At 44.1% G+C, this 27,914-nt stretch overlaps 2 protein-coding genes, 1 long non-coding RNA gene and 1 other non-coding gene across 11 annotated transcripts in view, besides 4 other annotated features; 2 read left to right on the plus strand and 2 right to left on the minus strand.

Annotated features, from left to right (window-relative positions):
* Positions 1,080-6,015, minus strand: MESTIT1 (MEST intronic transcript 1, antisense RNA). The gene is made up of 2 exons (NR_004382.2): positions 5,880-6,015; positions 1,080-5,005 (listed from the first exon to the last, which is right to left on the minus strand). It is a non-coding gene; the product is annotated as an MEST intronic transcript 1, antisense RNA (long non-coding RNA).
* Positions 1,213-21,503, plus strand: MEST (mesoderm specific transcript). Of its 8 annotated transcripts, none has more exons than NM_177524.2 (12): positions 1,213-1,433; positions 10,406-10,560; positions 12,194-12,273; positions 12,974-13,051; positions 13,177-13,313; positions 13,457-13,515; positions 14,913-14,953; positions 15,500-15,570; positions 15,827-15,928; positions 17,682-17,758; positions 18,971-19,034; positions 19,977-21,335. In NM_177524.2, exons 2-12 carry the CDS (start codon positions 10,407-10,409, stop codon positions 20,092-20,094), a joined length of 981 nt encoding a protein of 326 aa, NP_803490.1. In that variant the 5' UTR covers positions 1,213-1,433; position 10,406; the 3' UTR covers positions 20,095-21,335. The 8 variants fall into 8 exon arrangements, with proteins under 8 accessions (NP_803490.1, NP_001240830.1, NP_001240831.1 ...); NM_177525.2 differs by lacking the exon at positions 1,213-1,433 and adding an exon at positions 6,367-6,524; NM_001253900.1 differs by lacking the exon at positions 1,213-1,433 and adding an exon at positions 7,096-7,377 and having other exon boundaries at positions 10,406-10,518.
* Positions 1,848-1,897: an enhancer, noted in NCBI's record as "active region_26656". NCBI's record gives its function as "activates an Ori minimal core promoter by ATAC-STARR-seq in GM12878 lymphoblastoid cells {active_cell/tissue: GM12878}" and the evidence as "EXISTENCE:reporter gene assay evidence [ECO:0000049][PMID:35858748]".
* Positions 1,985-2,204: a silencer, noted in NCBI's record as "fragment chr7:130126788-130127007 (GRCh37/hg19 assembly coordinates)". NCBI's record gives its function as "represses an EF-1alpha promoter that drives an FKBP-Casp9 reporter gene in an ReSE screen in HepG2 liver carcinoma cells {active_cell/tissue: HepG2}" and the evidence as "EXISTENCE:reporter gene assay evidence [ECO:0000049][PMID:32094911]".
* Positions 5,951-6,160: a silencer, noted in NCBI's record as "silent region_18646". NCBI's record gives its function as "represses an Ori minimal core promoter by ATAC-STARR-seq in GM12878 lymphoblastoid cells {active_cell/tissue: GM12878}" and the evidence as "EXISTENCE:reporter gene assay evidence [ECO:0000049][PMID:35858748]".
* MIR335 (microRNA 335) lies at positions 11,149-11,242 on the plus strand. Its single transcript, NR_029899.1, has one exon. It is a non-coding gene; the product is annotated as a microRNA 335 (primary transcript).
* Positions 19,089-20,288: an enhancer, noted in NCBI's record as "BRD4-independent group 4 enhancer chr7:130143892-130145091 (GRCh37/hg19 assembly coordinates)". NCBI's record gives its function as "activates an origin of replication core promoter dependent on BRD2, P300/CBP, MED14 and CDK7 cofactors, and independent of BRD4, by STARR-seq in HCT116 cells {active_cell/tissue: HCT116}" and the evidence as "EXISTENCE:reporter gene assay evidence [ECO:0000049][PMID:35650434]".
* The window catches only part of COPG2 (coat protein complex I subunit gamma 2), a 162,511-nt gene continuing 155,872 nt past the window's right edge, over positions 21,276-27,914 (minus strand). The window contains exons 21-24 of the mRNA NM_012133.6: positions 23,600-23,697; positions 22,723-22,861; positions 22,312-22,410; positions 21,276-21,844 (exon numbers count right to left, since the gene is read on the minus strand). Of these exons, the coding sequence (NP_036265.3) occupies positions 21,714-21,844; positions 22,312-22,410; positions 22,723-22,861; positions 23,600-23,697 (467 nt within the window). The 3' untranslated portion in view covers positions 21,276-21,713. The remainder of the gene's footprint in view (positions 21,845-22,311; positions 22,411-22,722; positions 22,862-23,599; positions 23,698-27,914) is intronic.

Below are 27,914 nucleotides of genomic sequence, written 5' to 3' on the forward strand. Positions count from 1 at the left end.
GCTCTGTGGTAGGAGAGACAAGACAGGTCTGCAAACATCATCACAAAACAATGTGATAAGGCAACAGAGGGACAGAGAAAGCACAGAGGAGGGAGGGATCATTTCCATAGGAAAGTTTCATGGAAGGCTTGCAAGAGGATGTGAAAATTACATTGATTTTTAAAGAACGAGGAGGAATTTTTTAGGTAGCCCAAGTGGGACAGGACATAGCTGGTCCTGGAGAACATGTGTAAAGGCACGGAGAAAGGAAACTGCATGGTGTTTTGGGAGGAACTATAATTAGTAATGTTTGGTCAGATCATGAGGTTTTGGTGGGGGTGGGTAAGATGGAGGTGGTAAGATAGAAGATTCTAGAGGAAGTCAAGGCAAGGACCAGATTTTGAAGTGTTTTGCATGCGGAGCTGAAGAGCTTGAATTTAGCACCAGCAATAGGGTGTCAGTAAAGAGTTTTATAAGAGAGATGTGATCAGATTTGCATTTTAGAAAAATCACTTTGGCAGGTTTGTGAATGATGGACCAGAAATGTGTGATGGTGGAGACTTGGAAGCCAATTAGGAGGCAGTAGTCCAGGTGAGAAATAATGCCCCGAACAAGGGCAAATGGCATTAGGAATGGAGGGGAGCAAGCTGAACTCAAGAGACCCTTGGGAGGTAAGATGAAAAGGATGGGGAGGAGGGAACTTGTTGGGATCTGTATCTAAGGGTACCCGACCCCTTGGTCTCATTCCACTGTTCCACAGGGGTTGGTGACAGTGTGTGGGAGACAGGGGTGGACAGAAGTGCGTTAACCAAGATACAGACTAGAGAAGGAAGCGTCAGTTCTTAGGACAGGGGTCAGTTTGTAGTGTGGGAAAGAGGAGGTGAGAAAGGGTAGTGAATTTCACCTGGCCCTTGTTGAGTATGTGATGCCTGTGTTCGCCATGTGAACAGCAGAAAGCAGCAAATATAAGGATCGAGAGCACGGGGTAGAGAGAGGGCTGGCGATGGACACCATCTTTAGGGTAATTGCGAAATTAGGGGAAGGGCTGAAATACGGAAGGCTCGCCGAAGATCTCTAGGTAGTTAATAACTATCAAAATGTCACTTCTTTGGCCTTCACTTTTATTATGTAAAAGTACTCAGATCAGGCCGAATACAATTTTATTCTCTTTATCCAATGCCGGAGGCTATTGTCGAAGCCACGGCCTGCCATTTCATACCCTTTGCAATAGGTGGCGCTGACGCCTGGCAGGGAGAAGGCGGCAGCACATGCTGGGCTCGGGGGCGATGGGCTTGTGCGCGGACCTGGCGACGCTCTAGCCCCGAGCCGCGTATTCGTGGCCGGGTCCTCCCTGGGAACAGGGTGAAGGCCGAGAACCTCTGGCCTCAGGAAGCGCATGCGCAACCGGTTCTCCGAAACATGGAGTCCTGTAGGCAAGGTCTTACCTGAATCAGGTAAGAGGCGGGCGGGGAAGGAGTGGAGCCTCCCCGTGCACCCTCGCAGCCCGCTCCAGGAGTGGGACTAGCCCTCCTTGGGGGTGTGGCTCGTGTGCGTGGGCCACACCAGTCCTAGGGGCAGGTAAGTGCGCGTGGCCCAGGAGGCGTGAGGCTGTGCTGGCGAGGGGAGGGCTCCCGGGGCGCGTGGGTGCCCATACGAGGTGCGCCGCCGCCGGTCCAGAAGAGGGCCACGTGGGCGAGAGCCTCGGTCGTCGCCTCCCAGCACCTCGGGGTCGTAGAGAACACAAAAGTCACACAACCCTCGCCGAGGCTTGACCCCCGCGACAGAGTTTAGTCATTCCGTTAGCTGGCTCCACCCGCCCTCCTGGGCGTGGGGACTCGATTTCTTGGGAGGCTGCGCCTTCCTACTTGTGGGACAGCCAGCCTTGGAGGTTGGAAAGGTCGCAGGCACACGGGTGTGACCGAGTGGTAGAGGGCGTGGCTGTTCCGGGTCGGAGCTGCAGGTGTCGGTCCAGGTCCAGGCGCTGGGGTCACCAGGGCGGAGAGCGGCAGTGGTGGCGCGGCTGGGGGCCTGGTTCAGGGAGGGGGACAGCTGAAGAAGGTGTGAGGTGAGGAGAGCAGTCGAGGAAAACGGAAGCACCTGCTCCTGGTTGACTCATTCTGGCTGGAGGCATAATCTAATGTGGGAAGGTAGTAACAGGAAAAAAAAAAAAAAGCGAGAAAGAGCGACTGTGCCTGTGCTGAAGCCCTTTCCTCCTCCTAGCTCCCAGGCAGCTAGAAAATTGCCTGTCTGAAAGAAAGTAGCTGTTTTCCTTAGGGGACTGTGGTGAGTGACAAATGAGATGATATATGTGAAAGGGTAAAGAGCTATAAAAATGCAAGATTCTATTACTTAATTAGAATCCTTCAGCCTATTTATCTGTTTGAGTGGATAAAATGTCCTCTAGGTGTGGGATAGTGGGGCAGGAGTACCTGGTGAAGAAGTACCAGCTGTGGGATAATGGGATGTGTGGAGTAATGCAGAGGGTGTGTGAAGATAGTTTAGGGGTGCCCACTAATACTGTCACCTGGAGAAACAACCATCTGTCATTTAGGTTCATCTTATTTGGGTAAGAGATTATTCAGTTCCACTGCTTCCCTCGTCTGCCACTCATCTTTTGAGCTTTTTACAGCCAAACACTTTTACTCAAAAATGGGCCTGAAGAGGAACACACCAGTAGCTTCAGGGATATATTGGTTAATTTGTTTTTGTTTGGTTTTGTTTTTGAGATGAAGTCTCGCTCTGTCACCCAGGCTGGAGTGCAGTGACGCCATCTCATCTCACTGCAACTTCTGCCTCCGGGACTCAAGCTATTCTCCTGCCTCAGCCTCCCAAGTAGCTGGGACTACAGGCACACACCACTACACATGGCTAATTTTTGTATTTTTGGTAGAGACGGGGTTTCACCATGTTGGCCAGGCTGGTCTCGAACTCCTGACCTGAAGTGATCCGCCTGCTTCAGCCTCAAAGTGCTGGGATTACAGGCATGAGCCACTGCGCCCGGCCACATTGGTTAATTTGGTTGAGAGCGGGCTCGATGTGATTTTATTGATGATAATGTCTTCAATTTGCCTTGCCCTCAGTACAAAGCAGCATGTTGTACCAAGGGTTCTGGGCTGAGGGACATAACTAGGGAAGACTGAGCTGTGAATTTGTCCCCTCAGTAGAGGATCACCCTGGCCAAGTTCCAGTTCATCTTGGAGCCTTATTTTACATCAGATGGGAAAAGACCTTGCAGGTCATTCATTGTCTTACATGCAGAGCTCGCATACCTGCCACAGGGTTACCCAGCCCCCAGTGGACAGAGAATTTGTCCCATACCAAAATGGCTGAGCCACCCAATCCCTCTAGACAGCCCCTATGTTGGAAAATTCTTTATGTTGAATCGACATCTGTTTCTCTACAATTTGCACTCATTGGAGCCATACAGAATAAAATGTCTAATGCTGCTTCCACAAATATTTGAGGACTGCTAACACATTTCCTTCTTCTACTTACTCCACAAGGCTTCTTTTCTTCAAACCAAACATGCCCATCTATTTCAAACAGGGAGGCAGTGTGGAGTAGTGGAAAGAAGGCCAACTTTGGAGCCAGGCACATCTGCGTTCAGTTCCCAGCCCCTTCACATCCTAACACTTAGCGTTCCGAGCTGCCGTATCTCTCTCTGAAATCTGTGAGTGAAAATACTCATCTAGCCAGGCTACTGTGAGGATCAGGGATATGTTGGGTGAAGATCCATGCTCATGGTAGGAGCTTAAAATACGAGAACTGTTACACCTTCAGTTTGCAATTCATTTAGTTGACCTTCTCTGAACACATTCCTATTTGTCTCTGTTTCAATATGTATCTGCTCTGTAGAACAGAATAAAATGCTTTCTGTGAGTTCTAACCAGCATAATAGAGTAGGATTAGCTTATTTTTGGTACTTCCCCTCAGTCTGCAGTCACAGTAGCCTTTTTAAGGGTCCTGTCTTACTGATTCAGTAAGTTTCTCAACCAAAACCCCTTCGTTAACATGTGCTCCTGTTCAACCAAGTTTCTCCCATTATGAAGTGTTTTAGTTGATTTGAATCTACAATGATGGCTCTTGAAAGTGGCAGTCCCGGTTGTGTCTTGTTGTCTCCATAAATATCCTGCACTTGTCATATTATGGGTCTCAAACTGGGGTTAGAAAAATATGGTTCTTGAATCTGTGGTACCATCTCTGCTGATCCCATACCACTGTTGTGAATCAGCGAGATAATAAATGCAGAGCTTTCTACATGAATTTTTGCACAGATCTGAGGTCTTATCATGAGGCGGAACTGTGTTAGACTTGGAATGTGACAAGAATGTGTGATAAGCCACTGGCTGAGGGAGTACTACTGCATGAGATATCCTGCACAGTCCAGGATAGCATCTGTCCAGAGGAACTGAAAGGGTGCAACTTCGAGCAAGCCAGAGCCGACTTTGAATTTATGTGTGGCTGTGTGTTTTCTCAGGGCTCCAAGTGTTTTATACCTTGGGTCAAATTCTCCCCCTGCGGAGGAAGCTCCTTTCTGGAAGTAAATCAGGCACATTTAGAAGATTCGTTAACTCTTTGGCTCCTGGGGGATTATGGCCAGCATTTTCTCTCTTAGACTTCCCACAGCGAATTCCTGGTTGGGCCAAGCTGATATCTTTGAGCTGACTTCTGTACTCAGGGTTCTTCCAAACAGGAATATGCTTTCTCTGCCTAAGATCTGGGTTCCATGCCCATCTCAACCTCAATCCCTCCTTCAAGGAAGTTTTTCCTAACTCCTCGGCCAGACATCAATAATGTCTGAAGGGAGGATTTCTCCCGAGTGCCAGACTTGGAATTCCTGTTGTCTTCAGGAGCTCTCCCTGGCGCTCCCTCCTTCCCCCAGGGCCTTTAAACTGTTTCTCCTCCAGTCTGCCCACTTGATCCATGTGGGTAGACATGTTCCATGGCCTTCAGAATAAGATCTTTTGTGGGGTACTCAGTCCATAAACAGAAAATTGCCTTCATCTTGGATGCTGGTGTTTCTGGCCTGGTGAGAATGAAAGTGTGGAATTTGTTTGTAGGACTCAAAGTTTCCATTAACAATAAATATGAAAAATATATAATGCAAAGGCTTTTGTTATTGTTATTATTAAAATAGGAAAGCCTTTACCTTTTTGGAAGAACCGATTTAGATTTTGCAGAGTAATTCAGTCTTTAAAAGGTAGTGGTAGTTAAAATAGGTAATCTTTGACTTGTAAAGAGACTAATTTAAATTTTGTTAAGTAACCAATTAAGGCCATAAAGAGTTTAAATCCATCTGTGGCTTCTCATTTTCTCTAGAACAAATTCCTAATTCCCTACGATGAAATTCTCTTGCTATCCTAATTTTTTGCCGGCTCAAAGGACTAACCGTTTTCCCCAAACACGCGGCCCTGAGCCTCCGGTGCTTTGCGAAAGCCGTCCCCTCCGGCTGGAATGTTCTTTGTCTCTCTGGTAAATGTCTATTCATCATTCAAGACCACCCTTCGCCCCTCCCCTTAATTACTTCCTCCCCTGTGCGCCCTCAAATTCTTGTACTCATTCAAGCAGTATTTATTAGGGGCCAGCTTTGTGGCCGGCACCGTGGCGGGCTCTGGGGCTACAAAAGGTGAATAATACTTGGGCTCTGCCTCTGAGGGCCTTACACGTTAGGGAGGAGTGGGTCAACTGCCACAAACGTCGCTAGGAAATTAAAAGGAAAATTTTACAAAGTGGCAGTTCTTGTCTGTCTTCCCCTCCAGATGGCCCGTGTGTTGTTTTCGGGCCGGGGCTATTTCTCATTTATTTCGCACCCCCGGTTCTTAGTGCCCTGTAGGTGCTAAATCAGCATTTGTTTCATGAGTGCTTTTTCTGGGGGCAACCAGACCCCTGCAGAAGTGTACCTGTGTTGTGCCAGAGGTTCTGATGATAGGCTTATAGGCGGTAGTTTCCTCAGTGTCCGTGGGTCGCCCCCGGTCCCGGGTTGGATGCCCCGCGGTCCAGCACCGAACCTTTCGGGGTGCAGAGTTGCAGAGCCGCGGAGGGCCCGGGCCGTGCGCAGCCGAAGGGAGGCCTGCAGCGCCCCCTCTGGATGCAGCGGGCACCGGCCGGCCGCCCCGCTCACCCGCTCGCACCCCACGTTTGTTCACCAGTATTTCAGTTTACGGTCAGAAAATGAACACAGACACTTCGTGATACTCTACACTTTTCAAAGGCGTAAGGGATGCCTTTTAAAGGATTATGGATTAGAAAAATTCCTCCCTCTTTCTTGTGCCTCTGGGCCCTTGCATTGTGATTCTATCTTACGTAAATAAAGGGGGCTTTGCTCTCCTAATTGTGCCCACTGTTCTGTGCAGCGCGGACCGGCGCATGCAGCGAGCGGGGCTGCGAGGGCGCTGCTGTGGCCAGGCGTCTGGCATGCTGACCACGTCGCGCTGCTGTAAAGGAAACCTGCCCCGCGCAGCGGCGGTGGCTGGAGCGGGAGAAACCGGACTTTGTGCAACTTTGGCCATAGTGGCCATCCCATGAATCTGTTTACTAGCTTGGTGGTGGGTCCAACAGAGCTTGTTGCTCCCTAGCCGCTTGCTCGTGCCCTTGGTGGTTACCGGTAGTTAAGCTTAGGGCGCATAGGGCCCTCGTGGCTCGCCACCTCTCACGGTTCAGTACCCACGCTTCGAACGAGGGATGGGAGCAGGCGCCACGGCCGGCACCCCAGAGCCCTGCTGCCCCTTAGTTCGAGCGGCCATCCTCCTGTGGGGCTTGTGGGCAGCCTGTGGGGTTTGTGGGCGGCCTGTGGGGTTTGTGGGTGGTCTAAGGAAAGAGTTGGGGCACTCAGGGGTCTGCTGTTTTTGCCCGTGGCCTTAACTCATCAGGGGAGGGTTTCTGCAGCAGAATCTCGGGCTCAGGGTTGGCGGTTAACGAGGGAGCAGCGGGGTCTTGGGGAGGGGGCTCGACACCCCTGAAGGTGCCCCCTAAAGGAGCCACTGTTAGAGGGGCACCCCATCTTTGTGGCCATGGCGGTGGTAGAGCGGCTGGGAGGGGCTCTGCGGCGAGCAAGGGAGCAGGCGGTAGGGGTTCTGCGGCGATGGGCGGGCTAGGGGCGGGGCGCGGGTGGGCTCTAAAAGTCGGTGCCCACTCGCTCCGCGCTGCCGCGGCAACCAGCACACCCCGGCACCTCCTCTGCGGCAGCTGCGCCTCGCAAGCGCAGTGCCGCAGCGCACGCCGGAGTGGCTGTAGCTGCCCGGCGCGGCGCCGCCCTGCGCGGGCTGTGGGCTGCGGGCTGCGCCCCCGCTGCTGGCCAGCTCTGCACGGCTGCGGGCTCTGCGGCGCCCGGTGCTCTGCAACGCTGCGGCGGGCGGCATGGGATAACGCGGCCATGGTGCGCCGAGATCGCCTCCGCAGGTGAGTGTGCGGTGGGAACGAGGGGGTGTGGCTGGCGGCCCTGGGACTAGGGCGCAGGCGAGCGGAGGACTGTGTGCCCGTGTCCGAGCTGGGGCTGCCTCTGGGCGAAAACTCTACCGACAGGCGGCACGCATTCCGCGCCCGCTCTGCCTACTTGAGGAGGGGGTGTCACTCCTGCCCGCAATGGAATGTTCAGAACGCGGGACCTCCTTGGGTTAGGATTTCTAGACCCCGGGATCGTCGTGGTGAGATTTAGGATTTCTGGACCCCAGCGTCATCTTGATATGACTTAGGATCCATAATGACCCTGGTCTCACCCTGATGCGAATTGGGATTTTTAGATCCTGGCATCACCCTGGTGCGATTTAGGATTTTTATACTCAGTCATTGCTGCAGCATGATTTAGGATTTCTAACCCCCAGCATCGCCCTGGTTTGATTTAGGATATTTAGACTCCGGCTTCCCTCTGGTGCGATTCAGGATTCTTAGACTCCGCCGTTGCCGTGGCGCGATTTAGGATTTATAGATCCCGGCAAAGCCCTGGTGCGATGTAGGATTTTTAGAACCCCAGCATCGCTCTGGTGCGACTTAAAGGATAGGCCCCAGCATCGCCCTGGTGCGATGTAGGATTTTTAGAACCCCGGTGTCTCCGTGGCGCACCTTAGGATTTCAAGAACGGGATAATCGCAGTGCCGAGATCGCCGCGGTGCAGCTTAGGATTTCAAGACCCAGGTATCACGGTGGCGGGAGTCACCGCAGTGACTAGAACTCGCAGTGCCCGTCAGCCGCCTTAAGTATTTTTCAGATTTCAGTAACAAGCGCGAGTGAGAACGGCGATGTGACCAAACTGTCATGTTGCGCAGGGATTGTTCACCTTGGTTTCGCGGGTTTTCAAAGTGGTTCGTCTCGCGGCGACGCCATCAGGTGGGCGGCAGGTTGGGTGGTATTATTACGGGAGTGTGTTTTTCTGTTTACAAGATGAAGAAATCAAGGCTCAGAAATTTTTGGAAAGTTTGTTACTGGAGTTTGCTTATTGTCTCCGCTCATGGCTCATCAAATAGTTGGGATTTTGGCCAAAAAATGTTTGCTTAACCCATTTTGCCTACTGACGGCTAGGTTGCTTCACTTCTAAAAATCCTAAAAGTTCATGGGGGCATTTTTACTGAGGTAATAAGACAAAAAATGGCCCCCTGAGAGGTTGCCTCTTTGCTTTCTTGGAGTAAGAGGAGGAGGGTGTGGAGGGGGGTGTCCAGGAGTGGAGTATGTTGGTCGATAGCCTCGTTTTTTAACCCCCCACTTTCCCTGAGCAGCGGCGGGGAAGCCTCCCCATTTGCCGCTCTGGCCGCCCCTCCCGGGGCTCTCTGCTGAGTCACTGCAGAGATTCAGCTGCTGGAACCCCGGGGATGAATGCGATGAGAAGCACTGGGGGAAAGGAGTAATGAAATCTGCACATGAAAATGTATACATTGAAGTACAGGACAGATAGGGCTGGGCAAATGATCGTCAAAACCTAATGGTTTTTGTCATCTGACCTTTCAAGGAGATACTGGGATACAGCCTGCTATTGTTGGGTGAAAACTGTGATATAACCATCATGTTCTGGCACTTTTTTGAACCATTTCTAGTATTACCTTGAGAAGTAGGACCAAATGGTTCTATCCGTCTTATGGACAGGTACTTTGGAGAAAAAAAGAAATGACTGCCCTAATAATGCCTAAAAAATAGCCTGGGGAGCTGACATTGTTTAAGAAACATGGTTATTTTACCACTGTAAAACCACAGGCTTGTTTTTAGATTTTAGCAAAAAGTATCAGGGATATGGGGGGGAAAAGTATCTTGTAAGTTGAGGAAGTTAGCGAACGGGTAGGTAGATTACAGGCAATAGGGAAGAATGTGTGTACAGACGGAAAGCCATTTCCCCCAGGGCTTTAGCAATTAATTTATTTCAGCTCTATGACAACTCTAATTTTAGTTTTGGAGGGTATTATTTCCATTCTGGCTGTTTTGAGAGAACTTCCATTCTACTGACAATTCTTGATCTGTTGACCATCAGAAGTCATAGACTTGAAACAGAACGGTTTATAATTCCTGTTTGGCACTCCTTGTCAATGTGGATAAACTGACTTGTGCCTTTGAAGTCCTGGGCATGGGAGGGTTGGGTGTACCAACCAGTGCTCTTTTTCCAAAGACAAAATCAATTCTCACACGCTGGGTATGAGTTATGCCTTATCTGGGGGTGGGGGAGCATCTTAGGAAATTAAATGGAAACTTAAAGAGTCTGCTAAGAAAAGCAGAAATGTAATCTACCGCCTTGACCTCTCAAGAGATTAGATATTCAGGGTCATGACAAAGCTGCTTATGTTGGAATACACAGTGCAGCTATCTTACTTTCACAGACTGTTTACCCTGAGCAGTTTCTCAGCCCAAATCCAGAAAGGAGTACTAAATGGGGCTTCATTTAGGCAGGAGGGCTGAAAATCAGGAGTAGCTCTCTGCTTGAGGACATGTGATAAGTTACTACACACACACACTCTTTAAAACATGAGATATAGCACATATATATTTTTTGAACATTTTACTGGTTGGGGGTAGTGGGTAGATGGTAGAGCTTTTGGAGTAAATAAGAAAGAAGTTATTTTTTTCCTGGGAAGCCTTGATAAAAGTCAACGAAAGAGTGTCCAGCATTTAAGTCATGTCCCTTTTATTTATATAAAGTCCTCTTCAGCAGGTATTGGGAAGACCACAAGGGTAGGGGCTAAGGGGTTAAAGTCGGGGAGCAGAGGCAGAAGATTATATGTTGAAATAATGTATTTTTTTTCCTTAAGATTAGAATGATGAACAAATATGGTGAGTGCTATGGCAGACAGAGGTTTGATTATAGTCTCGGTCAGCTTTGTGCCTATGTGAAGGGCAATGTAATCATTGCATGGTAACAGCAATCTCCCACCCCATCTTACCAGGTTTTGGTTTGTAGATGAGTGGACAATGTTACCTGACTGCTTACAGTGGGTCTCTGCTTTTCCTACAGGATGAGGGAGTGGTGGGTCCAGGTGGGGCTGCTGGCCGTGCCCCTGCTTGCTGCGTACCTGCACATCCCACCCCCTCAGCTCTCCCCTGCCCTTCACTCATGGAAGTCTTCAGGCAAGTTTTTCACTTACAAGGGACTGCGTATCTTCTACCAAGGTAAGAAGTGGACTATTGGAAGTCCTGCGTGTATCGGTCACATAAGTCCCAGCTGAGGTATTTATTTTGTGGCTATTGGTCTCTTGTTGCTCCTTAATGATGGAGGAGAGTATCTCTCTCTCTTTCTGTGTAGTGTGCTTGCAGAGAAGCGCAGAAAACTGCTGGGAGAATGGGGGTAGGGACTGAGATTCCAACCTGCAGACCTTACCTTTTAGTATAAGTTTTCTTTGTAGCTTGATATGTATTCCAATATTAGTTTTTTTTTTTTTTTGAGCAACCTGTCAGGTAATATATAAAATATTAATAGATATAACCACCATTGGTTCTCTCTCCTTACCATCCCTGATTTCATTTTTTCTGTAGATTATTTGTAGTGTAACTGTGATTTAAGTCTTGATACCATTATATAAATTAATTTGCTAGTGATGATGATTATTATGACCACTACTTATCAAGTAATTACCATATGCCAGGCACTGAGTTATGTTTTCAGCCTTCATTGTTTAATCTTTACAACAGCATTTGGAGATAGGTGCCATTAACCTCATTTTATAGGTGAAGAAACTGAGAAACAGATTGGAAATGATTTGTTTTGAGCGGGGGTCAAGAGCAATAACGAAAAATGTTTGTCATAAACCGTTTTTCATTATTGCTCCTGACCTCCTCTCATTTGCTATATTCAATTAAGTAAGTATACAATTTTTATTATGTTGGCTTGGGTTACTTCCAGTTTTACTGTTTTAGAAAACTAATGTTGAAGTAAAAGCTTCATGTCCATACAGTTTATTTTTTCCTTACATTTTCAAACTATACTACTTGTATAAATGGAATGATTTTATTTGCACAGATTCTCAAGAACAAAACTCTTAGGCTAAAGTATATACAATTTTTAACTGCTTCTAAATTATTTTTGAAAACCTTATTACCAAATTTTCATGTCACTGGCAGTATATGAATATACCTGTTCTAATCCCATACTATTAGCAAGGTTAATATTGTCTAAATGTTTACCTAATTTAGATGATGCTGAATGCTTCCATATTGTCATATGCATTAAAAAAGTTCATGTTTATGTTGATTAAGCCCTTTTTATAGTTGACAGGATTTTGTAATAGTTTTATTATGTTTTTGATGTTAGATTGGGTCTCCTGCTGAATAAAAAGTGCTGAGCAAACAGCATAAGCTAAAGGTGTTCCTTGGGAATAGTTGCTGTATCTTAGAGAATTTCTGTGAGGCCATTCATGATAAAGTACAAAGAATTTGTAGTTTATGTGTTGTGATCATATGCTTTTAACTGAAAATTTACTTTTCACTGAAAAAATTTGCATATTACAGAACAAAAGGAGAAATGGGGAGATGCTGTTTAAAAACACCTAGGTGAAAGTAAACAAGGTGCCTTCAAGTATTTTCACATAGCATGATTTTTACAATGTTTTAATATACAGATTGAAAGGAGAAAAGGCCTGTTCTCACCTAACGCAGTTAAGCTTACATTTTACAAATAATTGTGTCATTTTAATGTCAATTTGGTCACAGTTGCTTGTTCTTTGTATCAGATTACTTAGATTTTAACATCTTCGAGGTTATTTTTATAGGGATTTGGCATAATTGATTGTACTTTCCTTCTTCCTAGACTCTGTGGGTGTGGTTGGAAGTCCAGAGATAGTTGTGCTTTTACACGGTTTTCCAACATCCAGCTACGACTGGTACAAGGTAATGAAGTCAGACTTCTACGTCCTACTATGTCTTAAAAAATCTCGGCCGGGCGCGGGGGCTCAAATCCTAGCACTTTGGGAGGCTGAGGTGGGAGGATGACCTGAGGTCAGGAGTTTGAGACCAGCCAGGCCAACATGGCAAAACCCCATCTCTACTAAAAGTATAAAAATTGGCCAGGCATGGTGGCACAAGCCTGTAATCCCAGCTACTTGGGAGGCTGAGGCAGGAGAATCGCTTGAACCCGGGAGGCAGAGGTTGCAGTGAGCTGAGATTGCACCACTGCACTTCAGCCTAGGTGACAGAGCGAGAGTCTGTCTCAAAAAAAAATTTTTTTTTAATAAAAATTTAAAAAACCTCAAGGATTTTGTTGTCAGCACCAGAAGGCTCTTGCACATTTGAATTGCTTTTAAAAAAACATTAAATGTTGAACTGTTCCTTATTTACTGAAGGGAATAAACAACTCCTTGGCACTCTGGAAGGGATCACTGCCAAGTTACCCTCCCTCAACAGGGATTAATTACCAGGAATAAAGCATTTTCCAAGAGGATCATCTGTGGGACCTGTGGTAGTTTCATGGCGTTTTCTCTTTATGGAAGTCTGTTAAGCCAAGATAGGGCTGAAGCTCCTGTGCAACTGTAGGTCTGGTGAAAGGGAGGGGCAGGAGCAGAAAGCCCAAATCATCGTTTCTTTCTTGTAGATTTGGGAAGGTCTGACCTTGAGGTTTCATCGGGTGATTGCCCTTGATTTCTTAGGCTTTGGCTTCAGTGACAAACCGGTAAGCAGCACCTATGTGGGGCTGGTGATGGGGTGTGGGGGCAGACGCAGACTATGAGGGTCAGGCTGGCAGAGAGAGCTGTCCTCATGACTTCATCCTGTGTATGTGGGCTTTCCTTTCCTCAGAGACCACATCACTATTCCATATTTGAGCAGGCCAGCATCGTGGAAGCGCTTTTGCGGCATCTGGGGCTCCAGAACCGCAGGATCAACCTTCTTTCTCATGACTATGGAGATATTGTTGCTCAGGAGCTTCTCTACAGGTCAGTGGAGCTTCAGACTTCAGCTTATGATGCTAGGAAAGTACATTGTTTCTGGACTGTTTGTATCCTTTTTCTCTCGTTTTCAGCGGTGCACTGGTTTAAGTTTGCTCAGCTACATGTGTGTTTCCTCGTCTCCCTTCTAGGTACAAGCAGAATCGATCTGGTCGGCTTACCATAAAGAGTCTCTGTCTGTCAAATGGAGGTAATTGCCTTGGCGGTAGGTAGAAAGTGGGTGTAATCTAGAAGGGCCATCTTTAGATACAGCGGCACCTAAATGGTAATCTGATAATATTTCAAGTAGACATAATTAAACTATGGGATCTCTACCTCTTCTGTGCCATCAACTCCTTTGGTGGTCTGACAAGATTTATGGACCCTTTCTCAGAATGTTTTAAAATAAAGAAACAAACAGCATTACAAAGGATAGTGACTTTACTTACATAGTCAATAAAAAGCTGCATTATAGTCACATGTGCTTTTTCAATGCATTAGATAGCAAGTTCTAGTGGAGGACCTAGTAACAGCTATATCAGAAGGAGTGAGGAGTGTAAAGACTGTTTGCCATATCTGAAACAACTGCAATAGGTTATGAGAGTGTAGGATTGAAGATACAGAAAAAAGCCACAAGTGTTTCTAATACTACTATGATGTTAGTGTAGAAAATCCTTACTTAATGTCATCAATGGGTTCTTGGAAACTGTGACTTTAAATGAAACGTTATAATGGAACCAATTTTTTTTCTCATCAATGTTTTAAAGAAAGGATGTTATTCAAGGACCTGCTGTACCTCATTCTGCTTAAAGCCGAAGTTTCCAAGAACCTATCCTGATGTTAAGTGAGGACTTAACTGTATGAGATTCCCCAACTCCTAACTGATGGCAGTGCCAAGTTTCAGTTAGAAAATACCGAACCCCTGATTAGACTTTCTGGGTAGCCAGCTTGCAAGTTCATGAATATCCAAATGTCTCCTGAACGCCTTAAGAGCAGACTGGGAGAGAAATCCGTCTCTCCCTTTATCACTTATGCTCATGGCTTTCTTCCACTGACTCTGAAGAGAAAGGGAAAAGGAAAAACTCTAGGGTTTTTAAAGGACCTATACTTATTTAAAAACTTCTTGTTTTATTCTTACAGCCCAAATCATTAACCCTCGTGTTCTGAGTGATAGGGGGAAATGCTAAGGGGAGTCAGAGCCTGGTTATCAGCATTTTGGATGACCATATATTTTCTCCCCGTTTCACTATCTTTAAGATGGGAAAAGTAATTCCAGTGGGATTTATTGTGACCAGTTAAACACAGAATTCCTGGAGAAGTAATTAGATGACAGTTTTAAATTGTTATTTGTAATTCTGTTTTGGTAGTAAAGGCTGCAGAGGTGATGGTGAATAGGGTGGGTAGTTTCTGATAATGGGCTTGCCTTTGACCTAAATGTAGGTAGGCTGGGTGAGGTGGCTTGCACCTGTAATCCCAGCACTTTGGGAGGCTGAGGTGAGAGGATTGCTTGAGCTCGAGACCAGCTGGGCAACCCAGTGAGATCCCGTCTCTATAAAAAAAAAAAAATTAAAGCTGTAGGTAAATGACTAAGATAAGTCTCTTCTACAGGTATCTTTCCTGAGACTCACCGTCCACTCCTTCTCCAAAAGGTTGGTACTTCACTGATAGACCTTTAGTTTTAGGATTTGTACTGACGTAAATAATGCTGGGACCTTTTAAGGGCCATAGCTCCTGTAACTGGCAGTAGTTAAATCCTCTTCCTTGTGAATTTCTATTAATGAAGTTACTTTTTCCCTTCTTAGGCAACTAAAGCAGAGGCAGTGGCCCCTACGTAAACCCAAAACCAATCCTAAGAATAAGAGATCAACAAATATTTGGAGAAATTACAGCTATGGAAAGATCTGTGTCACAAGCTTGATGTTTGAACAAATTAGGATCCTACTCTAAACTTGAATATATCAGAGTTAAAGTTTTAGGGATTTAGTGAATTGTAGAAAAGTAATCTTAGATGGAATTAGAAATAGATTTGTCTTCCTTGAGAGAAGAATGCGGGTAGGCAAAACAAAATGCCAAGTACCAAACCATTCAGTAGCAGGAGATTTGGCTAAAGATTTAGTTCCTAGTATAAAACCTTTTGCCCCGGTGAGGATCTTCCTCTGGGTTCTTGAGCTTTACCTCCACTTATTCCCCTCCAGCTACTCAAAGATGGAGGTGTGCTGTCACCCATCCTCACACGACTGATGAACTTCTTTGTATTCTCTCGAGGGTAAGTGTCACTGTCAAAGATTGTGGCCTAGAGCAATGTCGTGAAAAGTTGCTGCCATTACAATTCTGGGCCAAATCCTAAGGCTTGATATTTTAAAGCAAAGGTGTTGGCCGCTTGCCAGGGAAGTAGAAGGAATTCATAAATCACTTATGGGTCAGACTGCATGGCCCAGACTGCATGGCCTCTGAGGTTCCAGCCATATTGAACATTCTGAGTTCTCCTCACACTTATCTTCCTGCGTTTTGGACTCTTTCAGTCTCACCCCAGTCTTTGGGCCGTATACTCGGCCCTCTGAGAGTGAGCTGTGGGACATGTGGGCAGGGATCCGCAACAATGACGGGAACTTAGTCATTGACAGGTAAGAAGTTACCCTTTGCTTTGGTTTCCAGAGACGTGTTTTTGTGGAGAGTGGGGATTGCTTGTTCTGTTCCTTGCTGGCTTATTCCCTATCACAGGAAGGCTGATGATGACCTATGGGGCAAACCAAAAAGTCATGGTCTATATGAAGAAAGAAATAGAAAATAAGAGTGAAACTGGACTCTTTGTTAGTATTAAATGCTTCAAAGTATTGAATCATGGTTGTGAAAGTAGCCTAGTGCCTCCCTCAAGGTACAAGGCTCTTCCTTTTGCCTATCTTTCTGCAGCAACGGGGAGTGAGAGGGCAGACTTCTCTTTCTCTGTCTTGTACAAAGAATTCCCATGCCTTGGTTCAAATGAGAATGTAGACACTTTCACAAGGGACCCAGAGGTGGTGATAGCTGTAACTACTTGGGATAAGACTCTGACTTCTAGCCACCTGGCTCAGTGTAGCTTCCAGTGTTTTTACTGATGGCTTTGCTGGGGATTGTATGTTAGAGGGAGCCAATCCTCCCACCCTCTCCTAAGCCCCAACAGGATCCCTGAATATTTCATTTTAGTATTAAAAAACTGAAGAACAATTAAGACTGTCTTTTAAAATTATATTTTCCTTTCCAAAAAGTAAATACTATTTGTAAGATGAGATATTTGAGGTTCACAAAAATAACTGTCCTGGAGTTGCCAGGCAGAATGAGTAGAATACATGAGTTTGAGTTCTAAAATGTGGCAGTGGTGTCTTACGCTGGAGAAAGAGGAATCCTCTCCATTTTATCTGTGGTCAGATGAAGCTTTGTGCTCATCAACATCTACACTTAGAATTTTGAAGTAGATGTCGGCTGGGCACAGTGGCTCACGCCTGTAATTTGAGCACTTTGGGAGGCCAAGGTGGGCGAATCATATGAGGTCAGGAGTTTAGAGACCAGCCTGGCCAACATGATGAAACCCCGTGTCTACTAAAAATACAAAAATTAGCCAGTAATTCCAGCTACTCAGGAGGCTGAGGCACAAGAATTGCTTGAGCCCAGGAAGCGGAGGTTGCAGTGAACTGAGATCATGCCACTGCACTTCAGCCTGGGCACAGAGTGAGACTCCGTCTCAAAAAAAAAAAAAGAAAAAAAAAAAGAAGTAGATGTCAACACAGAAGATCATGTGTTACAATCCTCTTATTTTAAAAATGAGGAGGCTAGCCAGGTCCTTTGGCACATGCCTGTACTCCCAGCTACTTGGGAGGCTGGGGTGGGAGGATCTCTTGAGGTCAGAAGTTATAGCTGTAGTGAGCTATGATTGCACCTGTGACTAGCCACTGCACTCCAGCCTAGGTAACATAGGGAGACCCTGTCTTTTAAAAAACAAACCAACAAATGAGGAAACCGAGTTGAAAGATCTGTGTTATATGTTTGAGTCAGAGAGGTAGGTAGTGGTGGAGCCTAAATTGGAACCTCAGACCTGGGCTTTTTAGTTACATAAAATCCAAACCAACTGTCAGCCTTCCTAGATCTCATTCCCTGCTTAATAAATACACAAACCCACTAATTCTTATATTGATAGTAGGCATAATCACTACTAGAGCTACATGGTGGTTAACTCTAGAGGTTAACAGAAATGGATAAATTAAGTGGGACATTTCCAGGAATGCTAAACTGCTTCTGGATTAAGAAATTGTATCTTGTGTTCCTTGTGGCTCGTTATGCCCTTGAATCCCTGTAACAGTAAAGGTTTCTTGTTCTGCACATGCTGACTTACCTGTCCTACAGTCTCTTACAGTACATCAATCAGAGGAAGAAGTTCAGAAGGCGCTGGGTGGGAGCTCTTGCCTCTGTAACTATCCCCAGTGAGTATTTTTGTATTATTGATAGGAAACTGAAGGACTATAGGGTTAAAGTAATCGCAACTCCTTTATACAATTAGGGTTACCAGATTTAGCAAATAAAAATATAAGATACCCAGTTAAATTTGAATTTTAGATAAACAACAAATGCTTTTTTAGTATTTAAGTATATGTTGTACAATATTTGGGACCTACTTACACCAAAAAAAAATCATTTTTCACCTGAAATTCAAATTTTCTGGGTATCCTTTATTTTACTGGCAACTGTACTCATGACATCTGGAACAGTGATGTGTGTGTGTAGAGTGAAGTATATAAAAAGCTGAGACATTACTGTAAAGGTAGTTGGTATTACTGATTTCTGTGGTGTGCATTGTCAGTGACTGCCACATTACATGCTGAATTGCTCGGACAGAAGGCTGTTTGGATTACTAATCAAGAGGCTATAGGTGGTTTGTGCTTATTTGTCTTTTCATTCTTACAGATTTAAAAAAAAATTATGGTGTTTCACACATAGTGATTAGTGCTCAGGAAATTATTGGTTGATTTCAAATGTCAAGGGTCTGTTATAACTGAAGAGAGACTTAAAGAATGATAGTATCCTGGACTTAGAGGATGTTGAAAGTTGGGCATATCCCATTTGGTCCAGGGTGCAGGAGAGCTGGATGAGGGACCAAATGGTTGTCTGTAGGAGGAGATGTGTCCAATGAATGAACTGGTACGTGCCTAGCAGTTTTTTAGAGGTTACCTAATAAAACAAGCTAGGTTTTGTATCACACAAAAAATTATTTATAGAAAATATTTTCTTGGGCTGGGTGAGGATGCTCACGTCTGTAATCCTAGCTTTTTGGGAGGCTGAGGTGGGAGGACTGGTTGAGCCCAGGAGTTTGGCACCACTCTGGGCAACATAGTGAGAAAAATTTTTCTCTACAGATAATTTAAAAGTTAGCCAAGTGTGGTGTTGCACACCTGTATGTAGTCTCAGCTACTGAGGACACTGAGGTGGGAGGATCGCTTGGGCCAACGAGTTTGAGGTTACAGTGAGCTATGACTGCACCACTGCACTCCAGCCTGAGCAAGGGAGAGAGAGACCTTGCCTATTATAATAAAAAAAGGAAGAAGAAAACATTTCTTTTCGGAGAGGAGTTAATTTTAGGGTGGGAGTAGAACAGATGTGAGAGCTGTTAAGTATTTCATTCCTTTTCTCTTTTCTAGTTCATTTTATCTATGGGCCATTGGATCCTGTAAATCCCTATCCAGAGTTTTTGGAGCTGTACAGGTGAGTCTCCCCGAGAGAAGTCTATGTTTTGTTAGTATCTCATCCTGACAGTGGTAAACAGAATTGCCTGTTGAGGGCTATTGGCTCTAGCCATTGTCTTTAACCTCGCTGGCTGTTCATCCAGGAAACAATAAAAAGATTGAGTTGAGGAATCTTATTCTAACATAATTGTAGTATCAAGACATTCAGTTATACGTTCTCTTGATTTATACATAGTCTGTTTTCACTGTCATGACTGCTACATATTCCTTGGTGTACAAAAAGCTCTCATGTGAGTCAAAGGTTGAAAGTGGATATACCTACAAAGTGTTTGTTTGTTTTAGTCTGATTGTAAAGCCAATTCATTGGTTTAGGCTGAGCAGATGGCAAGGAGAGATTGAGAAGAGCTCATTGTGGAAAAGTGCCTTCTCATTGGTTGCTATTCTCTCTAGGTACTTACTTGGAAGGTATCAGAATATGAAATCTTGATTATGTCACATAAGAATGTTCCATACCTTCCTGTGGCCTACTGGATACAAGCTAGTAGTAAACAGCTTGCATATAATTTTAAATAAAATACCCCCTCTCTCATCTCCTCCTGGGATTAAGGGAAGATCCTTGGTTATCTCTGCTTGGGCAGTGAGTTGCTGTGTGATCCACTTGTTTGATGCTTCATCCTTCTCTAAGGAGCTGAAAGTCATCTTGCTTTGACAATTGTTGCAAAAGTGTTATATTTTCAAGTTGTTGTTTGTTGGATTATGAACATTTAAAAACTAGTTTGTATAAATGGAATTGGCAAGTTTATCTGCCTAAGATACAATTTCAGAGTAGAAGGTGAATAAGCTCTTTGGTGGCTCCTTCCAGTGTGGTGTGTCCACAGGGTCATTTACTGGGGCTTCCCACTGGCTTACATCCCTCCCGCTCCAGCCTCAAGTTCACCTGCGTGCTGTTCTCTTCCACTAGGAAAACGCTGCCGCGGTCCACAGTGTCGATTCTGGATGACCACATTAGCCACTATCCACAGCTAGAGGATCCCATGGGCTTCTTGAATGCATATATGGGCTTCATCAACTCCTTCTGAGCTGGAAAGAGTAGCTTCCCTGTATTACCTCCCCTACTCCCTTATGTGTTGTGTATTCCACTTAGGAAGAAATGCCCAAAAGAGGTCCTGGCCATCAAACATAATTCTCTCACAAAGTCCACTTTACTCAAATTGGTGAACAGTGTATAGGAAGAAGCCAGCAGGAGCTCTGACTAAGGTTGACATAATAGTCCACCTCCCATTACTTTGATATCTGATCAAATGTATAGACTTGGCTTTGTTTTTTGTGCTATTAGGAAATTCTGATGAGCATTACTATTCACTGATGCAGAAAGACGTTCTTTTGCATAAAAGACTTTTTTTTAACACTTTGGACTTCTCTGAAATATTTAGAAGTGCTAATTTCTGGCCCACCCCCAACAGGAATTCTATAGTAAGGAGGAGGAGAAGGGGGGCTCCTTCCCTCTCCTCGAATGACGTTATGGGCACATGCCTTTTAAAAGTTCTTTAAGCAACACAGAGCTGAGTCCTCTTTGTCATACCTTTGGATTTAGTGTTTCATCAGCTGTTTTTAGTTATAAACATTTTGTTAAAATAGATATTGGTTTAAATGATACAGTATTTTAGGTATGATTTAAGACTATGATTTACCTATACATTATATATATTTTATAAAGATACTAAACCAGCATACCCTTACTCTGCCAGAGTAGTGAAGCTAATTAAACACATTTGGTTTCTGAATAAATTGAACTAAATCCAAACTATTTCCTAAAATCACAGGACATTAAGGACCAATAGCATCTGTGCCAGAGATGTACTGTTATTAGCTGGGAAGACCAATTCTAACAGCAAATAACAGTCTGAGACTCCTCATACCTCAGTGGTTAGAAGCATGTCTCTCTTGAGCTACAGTAGAGGGGAAGGGATTGTTGTGTAGTCAAGTCACCATGCTGAATGTACACTGATTCCTTTATGATGACTGCTTAACTCCCCACTGCCTGTCCCAGAGAGGCTTTCCAATGTAGCTCAGTAATTCCTGTTACTTTACAGACAGGAAAGTTCCAGAAACTTTAAGAACAAACTCTGAAAGACCTATGAGCAAATGGTGCTGAATACTTTTTTTTTAAAGCCACATTTCATTGTCTTAGTCAAAGCAGGATTATTAAGTGATTATTTAAAATTCGTTTTTTTAAATTAGCAACTTCAAGTATAACAACTTTGAAACTGGAATAAGTGTTTATTTTCTATTAATAAAAATGAATTGTGACAAAAGTGGACTCTGGCTTCCCCTCCCCCCTCCCCCCCACCCCTCTGGGATAAAAATTTTCCAGCATTGCCAGGAGCTTTCAGGTACACATTAAAGAATAAAATGAAGTTAAGCAGCTGGAGTATAGGATAGTATTTGATTTTCAAGATCACCCAAAGCTGCACTATCGTCCCAAAGCTGACCAAGTAGAATAAAAAGAAAAAAAAAAAAAAACAACCCATGCGCAAAGATAGACATTTGCTTGATCTGCTGGCTCAGGGCCAAATGTTTAATTTGCTTCTCCAAAGTCATTCATCTTCAAAAGTCTGATTCTGGGAAACTGATGCCACTAGCCTAAAAGCCCACTGACCATGTAGTGTGCATCAGTTTCCTCTTGTCCAGTAAGCATTTATCCAACAGAAGCTAAGATAACATCTACAGGTGTTCTCTCTTTACTTCTGACAGTCACCTGCATGGTCACTCCATCGGCTAAGGCCAGCCTGGACCTCACCAATAAATCATAGCCACCTCTGAATATACCTGAGAGAAAAAAGTAAGGAAAACCATATTAAGAACCCAAAACAAGCACTGGATAATGAAATTTATCATGCTATCCCTGCATCTCCTTTCTATTAGTTTAGTTTAGCTTTTCCAGAGACTTGTGGAAACTGAATCCTAAACAAACATAAATTCCAAATATATATATTTTTATATTCCCATGAAACCAGGTACATAGAAGGTATTCAAAAATACCAATTTGGAGTACTCAAAAGGAATGTTGGTGGTGGCCTTGGTATCTGTTGGAGAGATTTGTTTTGGGCCAAATGTACATCTTAAAAGAATAACCAAGAATAGCATGCAAAACAAATTATTCATTTTGACTGGGTATCAAATTGTTACTCATATAATGGGATGATGGGACAACAGCAAGGCATAAGATGCCCATCTATATCCTATTATTAAGCTTTGCAAGAAAATGGAAGGAAAATCTGATGGAAGCTTCTTACCTGCCAGATAGAGCGAATGGGAATTCTTGTTCTCAGGTACTTTATCGGACCTCTCACATGGCTGCATGCCCAGAAATGTGATGATATTGTTGACAGCCTCTGTGTTGAGAAGATGTATGAGACAGTATTAGGAAAGTAAAGCACAGGGATCTCCCTCTGCACCAGTGTATGCTGGGAGCTGGGGTGGAAGGGTTTGTTGGTGAAGGGGGTTGTTGGTGATGTGTAGAGGGAGGCTACTACTGGACTAGAAAATGGCTGATCAATTAGATGATGAAGACAGGGTGCTGGCCTTTTAAGTAAGAGATTTATGAAGTTTTTTTTTTTTTAAAGGAGTTCTTCTGGAGTAACAAATATGCCTGTTAGGTGTTATACTGTTATCAGGCAATATACTGATAGCAAAATGGGTCTCACCTTCAAGGGTTTTGGTAGAACTGAGGGCAAAGGTTTCCTCTTTCTCAAAGGTATCTCCCACCTCTTCCCAAGCAGCAGCAAAGTTAGGCTTCAGTACTTTCTGAATATGGTCAGACACAGTCACTTCGAGATCTTCCAGCTAGTGGGTAATAAGCAGTCAGTAAAGAAAAGTCCTTTCTGTTATAGGGCAAAGATAAAGGAACTAGTCAATATGGTCCTCCGGAGCCTAGAGAAAACTCTACCACCAAAATAGTTTAAGTTCTGTAGTCTGGATAAATCTAATGTTGTAGCCCTTAGCAAAGGAAAGCAAGAAAACAGAACATCTGGCAAGAGCCTCAGATCAACATCTGTAGCCCTGAGGTACAGAGTAGTCATGTTGCACCCACACTTGACCACTGAGTTCTGGGCACACGGTACCCTCTGATCATTCACTAAGAGGTTGATATTTTTTAAAAAAAGTTTTCCCTCCATTCTGTGAAGGCTTTTTAATCCATGATCTGGCTATAAACTAACAGCTGCTGAAGCAAAAACAAAAAACCAAAAAACAAAACCAACCCCCTCCCCAAATCATTTTAAATAAAACTGATCTCAATGAAAATCATGTCATTATTTTCATCTCTTAATTATCCCTATTATAAAGAAAAAAAAGGGTGAGTTTGTTTTAATGATGAAGTGGTAAATCTCAATTCTCTCTGGCCTGGTGCTGTCCAGTTACAGAGGAGGGTTAGTCCAGGTCCTCCTAATTTGTCATCTGTTTCAGAAGAATAGAAATCCCTTAAGTTTATGTCAGATGCTCCTAGAAAAATGTTCTCTCAAGGCAGAAGTCACTTAGTGTTGTGAAGGTGTCAAAGAAAGTCTCTATGCTGGGAAGACTCACCACATACTCATCATCATACCCATCCTCATCTGGAACTCCAGTGTTAGGGTCACAGTCCCGGACTGTAAACTTCATGGTGCAGCTAAAGGAGCCTGCAACTGGAGGAGAAGGGAGGCAAACCTGCATCAGTGGGGAGTGCAAGGGAGACGTTTCCATCATTCCATCTGTACTCAGCACTGTGTTCCACATTTTCCAGTTAAACACACATGCCCTGTTGTCTGGGGTAGTGGTTCTCAAAAGCAGCCTACAAGCGGGTCAGGAAGGCAGTCTCACAAAGCATGAATGTAAAGTCTATTCCACGCTGTGGGTTACAGCAGTACAGAAATGATAACATGGGCAGACTGTTTCTCTATTGGTATGAAGAAAGCAGCAGAGAGGTACTTTTGGGGGCTTTTTGCCATGCCTATCAAAGGGGCCTAAATGTTGAAAAATAAATATTTTGAGAACCACTGCTGTAGGACCTGACCAAAAAAAAAAACAAAAAAAAAACCTGTGGTAAAAAGCATACAGATCATCAGATTAACATTGACCAATCTCATCAGCATCTCAATACTATCTTTAGATTGTGGACTGATGGCGGGTCCACAGATCACCAGAGAGAACTTGCTTTATCTGTCAACCTTCAGCCTAAAGTGAGTAGGTCAGTAATGAGTTTCTAGTATTGGTAAAGTCAGTGTCTTAAATGGAAAAGCAAGTGGGCAGTTGTATGTTTTCACACAAGTGGTGTTAAGTAATAAGAAATGGAGGTGGGGGTACATTTTTGGAAAGTGAAGTCTTTATAAAAAGTAAAGACAGTATTTTCTGAAATGTTTGAAGGAGGGGATTTAGCAAGCAGGGATGAAGAAAAGGCATTTAGGATCTTGTCTATGGTCTGGAAAAAGCTTATAGGTACAAAAAATATTAGATATTGGGAGAGTTAAAAAGTTATTTGGGGGATAGGCAAGGAGAGGAAAGAACAGGCTCAGATGTGAAGACCATATACGACAGATTGGGTAATAAGACTTTCATCTGCTCAGTCTTGACTTTAAATTCCATCCATTCATCCATCCACACATGTAGTGACTGTCAATACATGTTGACATTACACGTAAAGGTATAAGCTTATGTGCCAGACACTTGGATAAAAAGATGACTGAGACATGATCTCTGTCTCTAGGAGCTGTCTAGGAGTTAAATAAGTGTGTGGGCTGTGTGTGTGTGTGATCTATCTATGACTTTACAACTCAATGCCATAGATCCTTTAAGTTTTAAGAGAGTGCCATGTGAGGGTGCGGGATTAACAAATAGCCTGGGAAAACTGTAAAAAATGTGAAACGATATAATAGTTTAACTGGCTCTCAAAAGATGCAAAAGAGCTTTGGCAAGCAGAGGAAGATGTACAAACAGGCAAAAGGAAAGAGGCCAGAAAGTCCACCGGGCAGCTGGAAACAGTAAGAGGCATGCTAATGCCTAGGTGCTGAGAAGATAATTTGTTTAGGAATAAATTGTAAAATACCTTGTATTTCAAATGATTTTCCAACAGGCTCTGGTGAGCTGAGGCAGTCAAGAGATTGAAAGGTTAGAGATAAGCTAGATAAGGTGCCTAATTTAAGCCACTGGTGGGGACTATGAAGAATGGGTCTGAATTCAGAGAGCAGATGGATTCAACAGAATATGCTGAAAACAGACGATGGCAGTGGGTTTTCCCATATAGGAAAGAATGAACCTATCAAGCCTGCAGAATCAATTTCAATGCCATTAGGGGTTGAGAAAAGAACGACTGTGGTTTAATTAGGATAGGATTTTCTTCAGAGAGAAGGGGAAAGAAGTGAAAGTTAACACAAGGCCAGAACAGGTCAGGTGAGGCATTTTTTTTAAACCATGAAAGAGATACAGAATATGGTAGGGGAAAAGGTCATGATCAAGTTAGAATGAAGAGTCAGGAGAGACATTAATTATAGCAACCCAGTGTGGTTCCAATTAAGCAGAGAGGCTACAGCAAATGAGGAGGACAAAGAGACAACATCAGGTATGAAGGCAGATCACAGACTGGGCACAGGGGCTGAGTTTTATGTGGAGGTAAAGACAGAAGACACTTACATATAAGGACCTGATACAGAGAAAGAGATTAAGGAAGTAAATAGGAATGGTGTTAGTAGAGATAATGTTCCTGAAACCTTAGTGGGAATTTTTTTACTTAAATGGTTTGATTGATACAATGAGAGGTTACAGGGATCTAAGGAAGTCTAGGCAGTAATCTGTCGAAGCTGCTGGAGAGGATGACGAAATGGGGCGAGGAGGCAAGATGCGGGGGCCTTTCCATGGCAAGAAAATACTGAATGCACTGCCATAATGTAAATATGAGAGTTACACAGACAAAGCAAGGCAAATACCAAAGAGAATCAGGAAAGAATGCCCTGAAGATCTGCATTAAAACTGTTCTCTGAAATTAAGCTTGTCTTGTGAGGATTCACTGAAAATGAGAGTCAACCACTAAGGAGATTTGTATGAAAAGAACCCAGCGAATTAGAGAAAAGATAGATGCTGGCAGCTAAGACAGGAGAGGGACATGTGAGTTGGGCCAGGGTACAGAAAATGCAGTGTGGCAAAGGGCAGAGTGGGAAAGGTGGGAGGGAGCTGCCAGGTCTCAACCACCTGGGGGAGACCATGACAAAGTAAGAGACACTTATGAGGTATTTCCAGAAAGCTTTGTTAGAATAATAATTAAAGAAAAGGGTATGTCACTAGGGCAAAAGATTAGAAAGAAGGCAAAAGAGATGGATCTGTACAGGCTAACTGCAGCAGTCTATGCAGGTCTGGACTGAACTGAGAAGCAATGGGTGCAGCATAGTGTGTAGGACATCGAGGAAAGCTGGGCAGTGAGTGCCAAAATAAGCAATACACACCTACCTGGAAAATCGTGTTGAGTCTGTGGGAATGCTGTACAAATGGTGGGAGGGAGTTTTTCTCTAGGACAAATTCAGAAAGGGAAGGAGGAATGGTACTGGAAAGCAACATTAGAGTTGTCCTCAGATGAAAAGGAGTTGGTCACTAAGGAATGACACACATCAACAGGAAGGTAAGACAGCATTGCTGGGCCAAAAGTCATAAGAGAGTATGAAATAAGAGACTGGAAGCAAAGGAAAGAAAATATTACATAAGGAAGGGCCTACTGGCAGAGCAGGTGTGGAATAAAGATTTAGAATGGGGTATCCTGTCTAGGTCTAAATGGTCGGCTGCATGGGAAATACACAGAAAGGGTTAAGGAGCAAGGAATTCAGTAGGAGGCAGCAGCAGACTAGCTCTTAAAGCTTTTGAGGGAATGGCTAATTAAAGGACTTGCTTGATAGGAAAGTTATAAACTGATGAATGCTGATAAAAAGCTATAGATGGGCCGGGTGCAGTGGCTCACGCCTGTAATCCCAGCACTTTGGGAGGCTGAGGCAGGTGGATCACCTGAGGTTGGGAGTTCAAGACTAGCCTGGCCAACATGGTGAAACACTGTGTCTTCTAAAAAAAAAAAAAAAAAAAAAAAAATACAAAATTAGCCGGGCGTGGTGGCCCATGCTTGTAATCCCAGCTACTTGGGAGGCTGAGGTAGGAGAATCACTTGAACCCAGGAGGCAGAGGTTGTGGTAAGCCGAGTTGGTGAGCCTTGTTAACTCTCCTTGTTAATACACAACTCTCCTTGTTAATATACAACTCTGACAATTTAACATGAGCCAAGCCCCATTGCACTCCAGCCTGGGCAACAAGAGCAAAACTCCATCTAAAAAAAAAAAACAAAAAACAACAAAAAAGCTATAGATGGCAACTTTAGAAATATTAGGCTTGATTTATTAAGAGAGTGTGAACATGTAGTTTGTCCAGAGAATGGATTATTGCTACTAGATGGGGAATGGGTGATTATGAAGAGTGAAGTAAAAAAGTCTATATCTATTTCTGTAGAGATGGTAAGGCCGGGTGCAGTGGCTCACACTTGTAATTCCAGCATTTTGGGAGGCTGAGGCTGGCAGATCACTTGAGGTCAGGAGTTTGAGACCAGCCTGGCCAAGATGGTGAAACCCCGTCTCTACTAAAAATTTTTGTAAAAATACAAAAATTAGCTGGGCGTAGTGGCACATGCCTGTAATCCTGGAGGTTTCAGTGAGCCAAAATCACGCCACTGCACTCTAACCTGGGTGACAGAGTGAGTTTCCGTCTCAAAAAAAGAAAAAAGAGAGAGATGGCAAGTGAAAGGATGACTGACAGTTAAGATATCGTAGACTATTGCACAGTGTTCCACTGAAGTTGCCTAGAAGTTACTCTGCTATGTGAGGATTGGCTAAAAGTGACA

The sequence above is a fragment of the Homo sapiens genome, chromosome 7, assembly GCF_000001405.40.
Source record: "Homo sapiens chromosome 7, GRCh38.p14 Primary Assembly".
NCBI lineage: Eukaryota > Metazoa > Chordata > Mammalia > Primates > Hominidae > Homo > Homo sapiens.

Excerpts from the sequence above, each read along its gene's own strand:
- MEST (NM_002402.4), top strand. The coding sequence starts at position 7,352 with ATGGTGCGCCGAGATCGCCTCCGCAG. Across the intron at positions 12,274-12,973 it reads CCAGCTACGACTGGTACAAG|ATTTGGGAAGGTCTGACCTT; the intron begins GTAATGAAGTCA and ends TCTTTCTTGTAG. Across the intron at positions 15,571-15,826 it reads TTCTTTGTATTCTCTCGAGG|TCTCACCCCAGTCTTTGGGC; the intron begins GTAAGTGTCACT and ends GGACTCTTTCAG.